Source organism: Homo sapiens, chromosome 17, assembly GCF_000001405.40.
Source record: "Homo sapiens chromosome 17, GRCh38.p14 Primary Assembly".
In the NCBI taxonomy this organism is placed as follows: Eukaryota; Metazoa; Chordata; class Mammalia; order Primates; family Hominidae; genus Homo; species Homo sapiens.
In genome coordinates this window covers 69,108,170-69,123,028 of record NC_000017.11, presented here as the reverse complement: position 1 = coordinate 69,123,028, position 14,859 = coordinate 69,108,170, and the positions used below count along the sequence as shown (strand labels likewise).

At 36.4% G+C, this 14,859-nt stretch overlaps 1 protein-coding gene across 1 annotated transcript in view, besides 1 other annotated feature; it reads left to right on the top strand.

The window, feature by feature from the left end:
• The window catches only part of ABCA6 (ATP binding cassette subfamily A member 6), a 63,194-nt gene that overhangs the window by 18,867 nt on the left and 29,468 nt on the right, over positions 1-14,859 (top strand). The window contains exons 11-17 of the mRNA NM_080284.3: positions 5,073-5,131; positions 7,543-7,653; positions 8,092-8,267; positions 9,292-9,411; positions 9,669-9,807; positions 10,756-10,846; positions 12,089-12,228. Coding sequence (NP_525023.2) covers positions 5,073-5,131; positions 7,543-7,653; positions 8,092-8,267; positions 9,292-9,411; positions 9,669-9,807; positions 10,756-10,846; positions 12,089-12,228 — 836 coding nt within the window. The remainder of the gene's footprint in view (positions 1-5,072; positions 5,132-7,542; positions 7,654-8,091; positions 8,268-9,291; positions 9,412-9,668; positions 9,808-10,755; positions 10,847-12,088; positions 12,229-14,859) is intronic.
• Positions 4,777-4,966: an enhancer, noted in NCBI's record as "active region_12652". NCBI's record gives its function as "activates an Ori minimal core promoter by ATAC-STARR-seq in GM12878 lymphoblastoid cells {active_cell/tissue: GM12878}" and the evidence as "EXISTENCE:reporter gene assay evidence [ECO:0000049][PMID:35858748]".

Genomic DNA, 14,859 nt, shown 5'->3' with positions numbered 1-14,859 from the left:
CCCTCCCCCTACCCCAGAACAGTCCCTGGTGTGTGATGTTCCCCTTCCTGTGTCCATGTGTTCTCATTGTTCAATTCCCACCTATGAGTGAGAACATAAGGCTAAAGAATTATTAACCGAGAGCATCAGGGTGAGCTTGAGGCAAAATATTGAAGGAGAAGATATTTGTTTTTGTCAATGTCACTTTGAACTGCTCCATTTCCATCACCACCAATTTCTTCTGTTACTTGAAAGGAAAATCCTCCTTGTTTATCAGCTCTGTATCATATTATCCAGCCACACTTCATCTTGTCCCCCTTTCTGCCTCTTTCTCTTGTGCCCACCTCTCTTTTATACTTGCTCCTTTCATTCTGTGAACCCCTCTCTCCATGGTTTCATCTGGTTTTATATGATAAGTTGGAAGAAGTAAGAAATTCTGAATCAGAAATTCTTAGATCCTAATACTCTCCTCTCTCATTTGATGTGTACTCTTGGAAAAATGAGTAAATTTTATGAGTCTCAGTGTCTTCTATGAAACAAGATTAATATTGACTTTGTAGGGTTGTTATGAGACTTGGTATATCACAGAATTGCATGAGGAGCATTTAGAATATCTGTTTTTAGCCAGGGATTCTAACTCAGCAGTTTTGGGATTGAACCCAAGTATCATGGATTTCAAAATAGCTTTGTAGATTTTTCTACAAAGTTTGGTACAAAGTTAATGGATCAGCGCTTTAAATAGCAATCGTTTATTTATTAACAGATGTTTACTTAGTGCTGACTATGTACCTGACTTGCACATAATTCGCACAAAAAGCTTACGAGGTAGGTATCTTTATTTTCCCCATTTTGAGAATACAAAAAGTGAAGCAATGAAAGCTTAAGCCTTTTACCCAATATCACACAACTCGCAAGTGGGGAACTGGAATTGTAATCCAGATAGTCTGGCTCTACAGTCTATGCTCTTAACATACTATTGAGATGTCAGGAGGCAAAGAAAAATGAATAAATAGAGAACCATATCTAGGAAGTGAAATATTTCCAAGACAAAGAGGCCTAACCCATATACCTAAGCTTCCTCCATCTAGTTCTTAACCAATTTTCCGTTTAAGTTTTCTGAGAGGGGCAACAGCGCTTCCTCTGCTCTAGCTAGGAGTATACCAGCTCCATAGAAAATTTCTATCCAAACAAGAAAGGCCAAGTGAGGAATAATTCCATAAAACTCAGTTCCAGTGTCATCAATCCTTCTTTACCAGTTGAGGGCACAAAATAATATTGTATTATATTATTATTCAAATTATAAAAATTTTCAGATCCAATCTTCTAACAAAATCTTTTACTTACAAAGACCTCAAAATTTTCTTTGTTCTTCTACTGCTGCCTAGTGACCTAGGAAAGAAAGTAAAATGTGCTCCACCCCCACCTTCCCCCAACTTCTCCCTTCTTCTCCCACATCCCCACTGTGCCTCCAAACCTAGCCAATGTATACAGTGTTGACTGGGTACACCTGTCACTTGGTCTGGATTCTTAGCTCAGGTGGAGACCTGAGGCTACTGACAAACCAGGGAAAGAAAGTCATTTGATGCAAGGACTATTCACTAAAGCTTTTGGCTCCATTGTGGGGCACCTCACCCCAGATCCACACCAAAGCAAGAAAGTAGGCTTAGGCGGTCAATGTTGTAGCTCTTTAATGGCAAGGTGGTACACACTCACTGAGTGTTAAAGCAGGTCTGGGGCTGCAAGGCAGTCTAAAACTGCCTTTTGACCATCCAACAGTATATGCAGTTTCTAATCCACAAGTTTTATCTCTTCTTTCTTCACAGTGATCATTTCTTAGTGGCATCATTACTCTTCCCCACCTGTAGACAATGTCAAATCTTTTTCAATCAATTCCAACGTGTGAATTCTATTTTGTATGAATATAAAAGGCACTAAGCCATTGATTTTTTTCTTCCTATGTGGTCTCTGCTTTATATAAAAATTGACTCTTCCTCTTTATATAGAAATGCTTTATATACAAAGGAACTCTTCCCCTAAGATACATAGAGCTTACAGGGTATGTAATCTTTAAGCTCTATGTATCAGGGGTATGGATGAAAGTTTGTAGAATTCTAACCAGAATCATGATTCTGGGTTTGTAAAAATATACATTTTTTATTCACAACTGGCTCTTCCTCATTCATAACTCCCAAGTCACATTTTCTCTGGGGGCAATTGTGTACACATATGTGCATTCCTGTAACTATAGACCATTCAGGCAATATTCCCAGAACACAGGTAGAATGTCTGCCTCAAATGTAAATGACTGATTTCATGTCTAAAATCCAGAAACAACAGCTCCTCCTAAATGGAATTTTCTTTATTAAAACAAAACATTAAAGTTTCACTTCAACAGGGATTCCATTTTACAAAGAAATGCTGAAATAAAATACCTGGTGAGACTCATCATCTTTTAACTTTGCTTCATTCATTCATTCAACAAACATATTGTTGCTGGGTTCTTTACTAATCTTTAGGGCAGCAAATATGAACAATAAACTGTCTTTCAAGGAGCACACAACACAGGGAACAAAATAAATAGGTACATGAAATTCAATCTGATAAATGTAGGGATAGAGATATTAACTACTGTTATTTAGTCAATAGAAGTGTTAACTACCCTAGTTTAGGGAAATCGAAGAGAACGTCTATTTTTGTTTTAAAAAGTTAAAAATTACTGAAGAAATTTAGGCTTTTAAAGCTGACATATTCACCATCCGGGTTGAGCAGATATAAACATTATTGTCATATTTGCTTTGTATTTTTAATGGATATATTATATGTTTATTTAAAGTCCCTTTTGATCTCTTTAAAATATTTTCTCCATCCTTCGTCAGAATTTACCTTTATAATGGATTTGGTGTTATCACTTTCCATTCATATATTTACATATTGCACCATACACTTATAGCCCTAATCAATATGTGATATAGATATATGTGATATAGCTCTGTGTGTTTTTGATATAATCTATAAATGGTATCAGACTGTACTTAAGTTTCTACATATTGCTTCTACACTCAGCATTTTGCTTTTTGGGGTGTATTCATAGTGATAACTATGGGCTAATGCATTGATTTTAATTTTTATATAAAAGTATTCTAAGATATGAATCTACCACTTTTATTTATCTTTTCTGACATTGAAAAATATTCTAGTTGTTTCTAATTTTTTGGTCTGACAAATGATGTTGCAATGAACATTCTAAGAATAAGACAGATAAAAAGGTGTGTTTGTGCATATGTACATATGTGTGTGTGAGTGCATGTATATATGTATATGTGTATGACACACCCAGCAGAAAAGACAAAAAGCACTAAGCTTTGTGCAGGATATAAATGGTGGTTTGGTGATCCTGACACATAAAACATGAGGCCGAGGATGCCAAAAGATGTCACTGGACAGACCATGAGTGGCTGCTTCATGTGGTACAAAGTAGCCTTGACTTTCCCTCTGAGGCTGATGAGGAACGTTGAGGAGTAAATAAAATGGATTTTAAAATAAATCACCCTGTTTCCTGTGTGAAGCATGGATTCTAGGGGAATAAACTGAAAGTAGGGAAAGGAACTAGAGGCAGTGAACAAGAGAAGAATAGTTGAAGACTTAAAAGGGACCCAAGACTTGAACTATTTTAGAGTTAAATTTTACAAAAATGATACCAGGTTGGATGGGTGATGAATCTGAGTGAGAATCAGGAAGAGAGTAGTTGAATGTCCATGCTGCCAAATAAGATCCTGCGTGATGGGGAAATGGGTTTAGGTGACAATGCAGTGAAGTCTGTTCTGCATATGCAGTTTTAGAGCAGTTAATTCTCAAACCTGGCTTCACATTAGACTCATTTGGAAGAACATTTAAAATATCCCAATCCTCAGCCTTCACTGCCAAGAAAAACTCATCACCCCAGATCAATTAATGTGAATCTTTTTTCTGTGAACTCTGCAGAGAAGTAATTAATGTGAATATAATATGAATCTCAGATGTTGTTTGCAGGCATCAGTTCCCTTTGGAATTCTAATGTGTATTCACAATTAACAACCACTGATTAAGAGCTGTGTGTCTGTGTGTGTGTGTGTGTGAGAGAGACAGAGAGAGAGACTATCTATGCAGCAAACCATTAGATGTGTGAATCTAAAGATCAATGAAAAGGGTGGGGTCAGCATTAGGTTGATGCTAAAACAAAAAATCCAACGAGAAAACTTCTGGAGAGAGTCTCAAATGAGAAGATCCATCATATACATGGAGAACCCTGTGGAATATCAAGCTGATGTGTCTGATGAAGGAAGAGGACTTTATTAGGAAACAGAGAAGGAACATTTAGAAAAATAAGAAGCAAAGCAATTAAGTCACCATTAACAAAGAGAAAGTCATCAACAGTGACTCATAATCCACTGTAAGAATGGAAAAGTATTTGTTGTATTTTATAATTAGGAGGTCACTAATGATTTCATTATGAAGTGGTTCACTGGAGTGGTGAGTTCAGAAATCAGAGTGCAATTGAAGAGGAATTAAAGGTCAGGAAGTGAAAATGGCAAGTTTACAATGGCAAGTTTATTTTGAGAATTTTGTACAATACAGGGAGGAGAGAAATTAAATTGTGTCCAAAGTAGAGGTGAGTTCAAAGAGGAACTATTAGAGAGAACACTATAAAAGATGCAGGTGACAGAGTGTCTGACTCATAAACTAATAAGCAAGACTTGGAGACGATGCAGGATGCCAGTTCAAGACCCTAGGTAAATGAGCTGATCTTGAACAGGGGGAAGAACCAACTGTTCTAAAGCTAGAGGAAGAAAGTGAGGATAATTACACAGCATTCTACTTTTCTAGGCAAAATACTAGTAGTTTAATTGTAACTTGAGAGAGACTCCTCTATTTTCTACCTCAGGGGAAATAAGTAATCAAAAATAGGGTTTTTTCTTTCTGAATAGACTGTTTATGCCATCCCTTATTTCACATAAAGTGGTTGGCTGCAGTTATCACTATGACTAGGGCTATAAATGGCCCGTGCTATTTTCACTTCTGTGTTGGCTAAGTAAGCACCCTTTTTGTTATTTCAGAATCAGAAATGTTAAGAAGGAATATAAAGGAAAATCTGGAAAAGTGGAAGCATTGAAAGGTAAAGAAAAACATTGAAAAATTTCATTCTTTCACTTCTTTCTTTATTATAAAAAAGGGAAACATTCAATGTGAAAAAATTTGAAATATGTAGATAAGCAAAAGAAAAAAGAATATAAATAACGCTATCACTTGGACATTAATCATGATTAAGAATATGCTGTAAAATTCTTCCAGATATTTCATGAATCTATTAATTTATAACAGTGGTATCATACAATGAAAGATGTAATTTCTCTTTGTTTTTAAAGATTAATCTGCTATGAACAATATTTTATATATTGTCACTGTGAGGAAAGAACATCTAGACTGAAATCTGATAAAGGTTTTATACTAGCCGGTGAATTTACATAGTTTATATGTACTGGTGAGGTTAACTAAAGCAAGATGAGTAAAACCATTGACTATGAATTAAATTTCACAAGTCAATATCCTATAACAAACCTAAGTTATAATTTGAAATGAAAAAACACATTTTGATACAAAATATTCTAACATACAGTTTTCTATAACAGACATTTAAGCAAACATCAAAGTGAGTAGCTAGATTTCATGGAGGACTATTTACTTTTATTAAAAATAATTTTTAGGAGGGATAAAAATGATTTTTATAAAAGACAGAAGCCTTAAAAGCTGAAAAAGAAGAGCCATGAACCTTCCAGAAGTGTAGAGTTCTCCGACCATTGTGTTTATATTGCGTGTATTTTCTAATAAATACAGCATCCTCTAATTCAGTCTTATTCATTGCTTTTAGATTAGGTCTTTGAGAATTTAATGTATTTGTATGAGCAATTTTATTCTCTCTCTAGGTTTCTCTCATCAAATACCATCTAGAGCTGTGATTTCTTTCTTTAATGTTAGCTCAGGAGATACTGAAATAATTTTAAATTGATTACTTAAAGTTTTGGAGCACATTTTGAACTACCTTTGTACTCATCAAGTCATGAACTTCTTTTTGTCTAAACAAAAAACTTCTTTAAGAATTTTGTTCATTTTAAAAATAGCAGCACCTTAAAAAATTAAAAGCATTGGACATCAACACATTAAAAATATGATTATGAATTCAAACCAAGTATAGCTGCTCTTTGGGAAATCAGGGAAGAAGTTGCAATCCCTTAGCCTCCTCTTCCTTCCTCATGGAGTTAGTTTCTGGAGCACATCTGCAACACCTTTGGGACACACTTTTGAAATCTTTTATCTATGGCCTACTTTTCAGAAGCTAAGTACCATTCCATTATATGGATACCACGACTAACTTATTAACACACCAATGTATGAGATTCAATTTGTTTCCAATTTTTAGTGTAATAAAAAATACTAGAATGAACAGCCTTGTTCAATCTTTGTAAATGTCATAAATTGTTTCTTGAATATAAATTTCTAGAAGCAGAATTATTCAAAGGAAGCATACTTTCAAGATTCTTGATTCATATTTCAAATTATTTCCCTCTAAAATCATAAAAAGTCATACTCCCACAAGCAATACATAATGAATAATAATGACAACGACAACAATAGCAATAAACACTTAGATTTCATTGAGGATTTGGTGTGTGCGGGAAACTATGCTAAGTGATTTACATGTACCATTTTACATTTAGGCCTGTGAAAGACATGTTAATATATCTCTCACTTTGCAGATGACGAAACTGAGGCTTCTATTTAATTTTTCCAGTTACTGTGGGTCAGTCCCAACAGCCAGTATCACTTCCCTCTTACCCTGGAAAACACCGTATACTTTGCATTTAAAAATTACAGGCCAGGCATGGTGGCTCACATCTGTAAATCCCGAAGTGGGTGTATTGCTTAAACTCAGGAGTTTGAAACCAGCCTGGGCAACATGGCAAAACCCTGTCTCTACTAAAAATACAAAAATTAGCCAAGTGTGGTGGCGTGGGCCAATAGTCTCAGCTACAGGGAGCTGACGTGGGAGAATTGCTTAAGCGTGGGAGATTGAGGCTGCAGTGAGCTGTGATTGCTCCACTGCACTCCAGTCTAGGTGGCAGAATGAGATCCTGTAACAAAAAAAAAAAATTACAAACATAAAATTTGTTAATGTATTTGTTTAGTTGTCCCAATATTATTTATTAAATAAACCATCTTTCTAATACATTTGAAAGGTCATTTTATTAATCTTTATTTTTATATTTTCTTTGGTCCATATTAGACTTCTGTTCTGTTCCATTGGTCACTATATCCTGCACCAGTAACATATTATTTTAATTATTATAGTTCTGTCACATATTATTTTGGCAATTAGGAAAATATTGATCATTGTGTATTTTAAAGTATTGAAATGCTGAGAAATATGCCACTAAACTAAATAGCCTTGTTCTATGTTGGGACCAGGCCTGTCTAATGCCTTTCTGTTTATACTGTTAATAATTTGTTAACAATTTGTTCTAAAAATAGGCTTGCTCTTTGACATATATGAAGGTCAAATCACGGCAATCCTGGGTCACAGTGGAGCTGGCAAATCTTCACTGCTAAATATTCTTAATGGATTGTCTGTTCCAACAGAAGGTGAGTAAAAAGAAATTTCTCAAAGGCAAGATGTCTTATAATAGAATGAGGTCAAGCATATGCCTCTCATTTTAAATTTTAAATTTGATGGCTTAAGAGAAATAATGTTTATCTAAAGTTGTTTCCAAGAGCTACATAATTTTGAATATACTTCATATTTCTGCAATTTTATAAAAATTATTATCTTTATTCCATTGTGTGATATTTCAGGGTAGATGTGCAGTTCTATAAGCATATGTTTGTAACAAGAATAATTAGTAGTTCACAAATTGTGTTCACATATATGCAGTTCTATAAGCATATATTTATGTCAAGAATAGTAGTTCACAAATCATTTTAGACATTTGTGAACATATGCCAATATTTTCTTAAATGAGATCTATGAATATTAATAGAATGTATTATCTTGCCAATTTTATTTTTAACTTCTATTCTTAGGATCAGTTACCATCTATAATAAAAATCTCTCTGAAATGCAAGACTTGGAGGAAATCAGAAAGATAACTGGCGTCTGTCCTCAATTCAATGTTCAATTTGACATACTCACCGTGAAGGAAAACCTCAGCCTGTTTGCTAAAATAAAAGGGATTCATCTAAAGGAAGTGGAACAAGAGGTAGGAGGGCATGCTTGGATTAACTGACCTGCCAACCACTTACCAAATTAAATCATGACCACAGAATTCTCTTCAATGATTTATTTGCCCTGTTATGAATAAAATTTAGGCAAAGAGGTCCCATAACAAATATCGACTGCTTTAATGAGTGGTTAAAATTGCATAATATGAATCATTTTGGATTTTATTTTTATTTTTTATTATACTTTAAGTTAGGGTACATGTGCACAACGTGCAGGTTAGTTACATATGTATACATGTGCCATGTTGGTGTGCTGCACCCAGTAACTCGTCATTTAACATTAGGTATATCTCCTAATGCTATCCCTCTCCCCTCCCCCCACCCCACAACAGGCCCCCATGTGTGATGTTCCCCTTCCTGTGTCCATGTGTTCTCATTGTTCAATTCCCACCTATGAGTGAGAACATGCGGTGTTTGGTTTTTTGTCCTTGCGATAGTTTGCTGAGAATGATGGTTTCCAGCTTCATCCATGTCCCTACAAAGGACATGAACTCATCATTTTTTATGGGCTGCATAGTATTCCATGGTATATATGTGCCACATTTTCTTAATCCAGTCTATCATTGTTGGACATTTGGGTTGTTTTCAAGTGTTGCTATTGTGAATAGTGCCACAATAAACATACGTGTGCATGTGTCTTTATAGCAGCATGATTTATAATCCTTTGGGTATATACCCAGTAATGGGATGGCTGGGTCAAATGGTATTTCTAGTTCTAGATCCCTGAGGAGTTGCCACACTGACTTGCACAATGGTTGAACTAGTTTACAGTCCCACCAACAGTGTAAAAATGTTCCTATTTCTCCACATCCTCTCCAGCACCTGTTGTTTCCTGACTTTTTAATGATCGCCATACTAACTGGTGTGAGGTGATATCTCATTGTGGTTTTGATTTGCATTTCTCTGATGGCCAGTGATGATGAGCATTTTTTCATGTGTCTTTTGGCTGCATAAATGTCTTCTTCATTTTGGATTTTAAAAGTTGCGTATTTTCTCATATAGGTACAACGAATATTATTGGAATTGGACATGCAAAACATTCAAGATAACCTTGCTAAACATTTAAGTGAAGGACAGAAAAGAAAGCTGACTTTTGGGATTACCATTTTAGGAGATCCTCAAGTAAGTGAGATTATGCATGGGGAAGGAAGCAGGTCGAATGTCTGCAAAATGTCAAGTTCTTTTACCACTAAAAGTGGTAGAGCTTTCATTGTAATGCATCAAGAGAGAACCTGCTATGTTTAACTATAAATAGAAGTATATTGGAGAAAAATGGCTGGATGGTTATTATTTTATGGTATTTATTGTTTTTCATGCTATCTTCTGGATACAGTTAATGTGAAAGAGAGACATATTTTATATATCTTCATTCTCTGTAGATTTTGCTTTTAGATGAACCAACTACTGGATTGGATCCCTTTTCCAGAGATCAAGTGTGGAGCCTCCTGAGAGAGCGTAGAGCAGATCATGTGATCCTTTTCAGTACCCAGTCCATGGATGAGGCTGACATCCTGGCTGGTAATTGTTGGTTTTATCTCAGTGTTACCATGATGCAATTGGGGAATTTAGAAGCGAGGTCTATTCCCAGGGTAAGAGCCCTGCTCTCATTATGGTGATGTTCCTACATTCTATAGCAGTCAGGAGGACGACAGGAGTCTAGTTCCACTGTGGAATTCCTTTCTGGTTGTACATTTGCTAGGTAGTGACAACTAATGAAAAATTCTGATTACCTTTTTTTTTTAGATCAGCTGTCAATTAATTTAAACATTCAAATCTTTTTTTATATATATTTAATTGAAAAATAGACACTTATTCTTTAGCATCAGAGTATACAGTATACCATGTAATTTATGTGTTTTTTTTTTCAGAAAGTATTGGAAGGTGCAGATAGACTGGTGTTCATGAGCTTATTTTATTTTAAATTTAATTTATTTGTATAAATTTAATGAGTACAAGTACCGTTTTGTTACATGGATATATTATGTAGTGGTGAAGTCCAGGCTTCTGGTGTATTCATCACCAAATAATATACATTGTACCCATTAAATAATTTCTCATTCCCCATCCCCCTCTGACTCTCTCACCCTTCCGAGTCTTCAGTGTCTATTACTCCACACTGTATGTCCATGTGTACCCATTTTTTAGCTCTCACTGATAAATGAGAACATGCAGTATTTGACTTTCTGTTTCTGTGTTGTTTCACTTATGATAATAGACTCCAGTTCCATCCATGTTGCTGCAAAAGACATGGTTTCATTCTCTTTTATGGCTGAATAATATCATGAGTTCATTTTAAATGCATCAATTTTAATATGTATTTCAAATGTTAAAATGCACACTAGATCTAGTTATACCCTGTTGAATACTTCTCCTTTGCACTTCTGAGCCTTGGCTCCTCGTCTTTCTTTACTAGAGAAAGAAGAAATGACCCCCAATATCTTTTCTCCCTTGATTTCTTTCATTCAGATAGAAAAGTGATCATGTCCAATGGGAGACTGAAGTGTGCAGGTTCTTCTATGTTTTTGAAAAGAAGGTGGGGTCTTGGATATCACCTAAGGTAAAGACTTTGGGAATAGATTGGATTTATGTGTTTGCAATACTGGTATATGAAAAAGGTGGACAATTATGAAACAGAACTGGCCTCGTGCTTCATCTCTACCATACTGGATTGATCAGTGTTTCCTGAATACTTTTTTTTACTTTCCTTCCTCCTGTGTCTTTACAATGTTAATCATTGGCAACATTTCAACATGATAAACCAAGCCTGACTTTTCACAGCAAGACTACTTCATGTGCCACTTTTCTAGGTAGCTGTTCTGTGCAGCCTAAACCTCTACCTGCTTCCTACCCACATTTTCCTCAGCTGATCCATAGAATTCTGAAATATGTTTTCATTCTTTCATAGGGCAAAAAGGCAAATAATTTCAGAAGCCAGTATCAACAAGGAGAGAATCTAGGGGCAGAAAGTAATGATAACTGTGGCTAACAAAAAAGTGTATATATTAGTCTGTTCTCATGCTGCTAATGACATACCCGAGACTGGGTAATATATAAAGGAAAGAGATCTAATTGACTCACAGTTCGGCGTGGCTGAGTAGGCCTCAGGAAACTTACAATCATGGCAGAAGGGAAAGCAAACACGCCCTTCTTCACATGGTGGCAGCAAGGACAGATGCAGACTGAAGGCAGGGAAAAGCCCCTTATAAAACCATCATATCTCATGAGAACTCACTATCATGAGAACAGCATGAGGGTAACTGCCTATGATTCAGTTACCTCCCACTGGGTCCCTCCTATGACATGTGGGAATTATGGGAACTACAATTCAAGATGACATTTGGGTGGGGACACAGCCAAACCATATTGGTGTATATCCAGGCTAAAATAATTGTTTAAAATAACCCTATGGCCAAACAAAGCATGCATGTGGGCCAGATTTTCTCTACTAGCTAATGATATGGTCTGGTATAATAATTATTTTCCCTAAGAAGTCTCTTCTTCCTAACATTCTCAGCTTCCTACATTTATCTATAACTATACATATAAAACTCTATATAGTTCCATTTACATTATATATTTGTTTGTATATTTTGTAATTGTTCTGAGCTTATACATTTTCCATATATAGATTATAAAATTTTCAAACTGATAGATTACTATCATGTTAGTATTTACTCATCTTTTTGTTCCATAAAGCCAAGTAAAGTTGTGCTCAACAGCTAGGTGTTCAATTAAAGCTCTTCTTTTGTGATAGTGGTGGAGAAAATGCAAATGACTTATCTTTTCTTTTAAATATTAGTTTACATAGGAATGAAATATGTAACCCAGAACAAATAACATCCTTCATTACTCATCACATCCCCGATGCTAAATTAAAAACAGAAAACAAAGAAAAGCTTGTATATACTTTGCCACTGGAAAGGACAAATACATTTCCAGGTAACTCAACTATGATTACAATGAAATGAAATATGGGAAAAAATGTTCACATTATTATTAAAATAATTTTCTTTGTCCAATGAATTTAGACTTTTTCTTAGTTTTGGCCACCTGAGAAGCAGAACTCAAGAGGAAGGATTGAGTGCCACTGATTTATTGGGTAGTTGCTTCGTGGAAGCACCAGCAGATAATGGGGACAGGAGAGAGGGAAGGGAAGGCAGCCAGGGAAGTCTGAATTCTGGAGCAGATTACTGTGGTAGGCAATTGAGGTGCAATGCCCACGGGAGGGAAATAAATGAAGTAAGTGGGCTCAGCGTTTTGTCACCAGAGGGGTGAGTAAGCTGGGGTTCTTACCCACTGTTCCCTATCCATTGTTGATTAAGGGATGCCTACGAGAGCATTAACTTTCTCATCCTTCTGGCTTACTCTGAACATGAGCTTAGAATACTTCCAAGTACAGAAAAAGGACCTCAGGTAGGTGTTTTTAATAAGCAGATTTACCGTGTACAGGTGAATGCAGAAGAGGTGTTGGTGGGGCATAAAGGTTTCTGCTACAGGTTTCTCTTTGTAAGGTAGCCCCCCATTATTCACAAGGAATAGATAGTTCCAAGATCTCCAGTTCATGTCTGAAACCGTGGATAGAACCAAACCTAATTGCCATCGATCGGAAAACATTTCTGTTCATGTCTTCCACCTACACACTGAATGCCTTTTCTATCTTAACTAAGCACTTAACACGCATTGTGGCTGTAACTTTTGCAGTTTGAGGTGCAACAGCAAAAGTAGCATGAATTTCTTCTGCCTTCTTCACAATTTCACAGACAGAAGATTCATTCTTACGTTAGATCTTAGCATCAGCATAAGATTTTTTTTTTCCTTGTTGAGAACTTTCACCTTTTCACTTACAGGAAGCATTTTATGGCTTTTCTTTGGCATATCCAAATTGCCAGCATCATTACTCTTGCACTTTGGGAACCTTATTAGGTAAAATAGGGGTGCCTTGAACTGCAATACCGTGACAGTTGCTCTGATATCCCAGAGGGCTACTAAGTGACAGGTGGGTATAGCTCGGTTCTGCTGGACAGGGGATGATTCACGTCCTGAGCCTGAGCAAGATGGAGTGTGATGGCGAAGGATTTCATCACACTGCTTACAAGGGCACACAACTGAAAACTTATGAATTATTTCTGGAATTTTCCATTTTATGTTTTTAGACAGCAGTTGATGGTGGATAATTGAAACTGTGGAAAATGAAACTGTAGATAAGGCAGGATTACTCTATTTTAATTGTGCATGTACTATTTTGCAGAGAAAAACAACTTACATAGTCTACAAAAGTGTTCAACCCTCGGTTCCCTGCCAACTGGGTAGCAGCACCCATTCAGACTTTGTTTGATAAGAAATCCTAAAGATTACTTGCTCTTTGTGTAATGTTTTCTACGTGTTAGGCACTGTTCTAATGGTTTCATATATATTAACTCCTTTAGTTCTCACAACTGTTCTTTCTATGAGATGGGTGCTATAACTTGCCCTATCTTACAAATGAGGAAATATATTTCAGTCTCTTGATTTAAACAGCTTCCCTTTGGTTTAAACATCTAGTTTGTTAAAGGTATAACTCCCTATAGACCTACCTTAAATAAGCTCTTTTGCATAATTCGGTTTCATTAGGCAAATACTCAGGAATTCCCAGATTTTAGCTTCACTCCCCAATGTGGCAGCTCTCTATGTCCTTGTAGTAGCATAGAAGATGGTGTTCTTCTCAGATCAGTGGACTATGCCATGTTATTTTGTTCTTGGACTAAGGCCCTGTGAGGTGCAACTGGTCCACTTTCATTTTTGGTCAGAGATGGAGAATAAGGAATTATATGTTGGTACTACCACTGGAATATGTTACTTTGCCAGAGTCTCTGGTGTTGACCTCCTGGCCCATGGCAGCCTCTTTACACAGACCCAAGGCCTCTGCTGTCTAATGGCATGCTTATGTCCATTTCCGGACATGGGACTCCCAGGTCCATTGCTGCCATGTGCGGGTCATAGGGAAACACAGTGTTTGCTACAGTCTCATCCACCTCTTTCCTCTCAATAATGTCATTGGCCCATCCTCCCACCCAAACTAGAAAGTAGCATCTAAGAGTCTTCTAGAATCCTGCAGTCTCATGCAAGTATCTCCATAGAAGAGTTACCCAATAAATGTGTACTGGGAAACTATTATATAAATGGCACTGCTCCAGGAACTAGAAATACCACATTAAATAAGAGATATGTGTCTCTACTCTCATGGAGCCTACATCTAACTAGATAGGGAAAAGTAGACACACAAAATACACAAAATTTTTCAACAATTGTACACTAAAATAATAAACAAGGCCAGTGAGTTAGAGTGATGACTGGTGTCTGGCTGAGGTTTATATAGAGTGGTCACTGAAGGCCACAAGAAGAAAATGGTCAAGGGCACTCCAAGTCAAGGGGAAAGGAGAATGGCTGGAGGGCAATGAGTGAGGGAGCAGAATGGCAAATGGAGGTGGGTAAGGCTGTGTGGATAGATGGAGACAGGCTCTTTTGGAGCCTCAGAGGTTGTGTTATTGACTTTAAATTTTATTTTAAATGCATTGAGAAAGCATTGAAAGA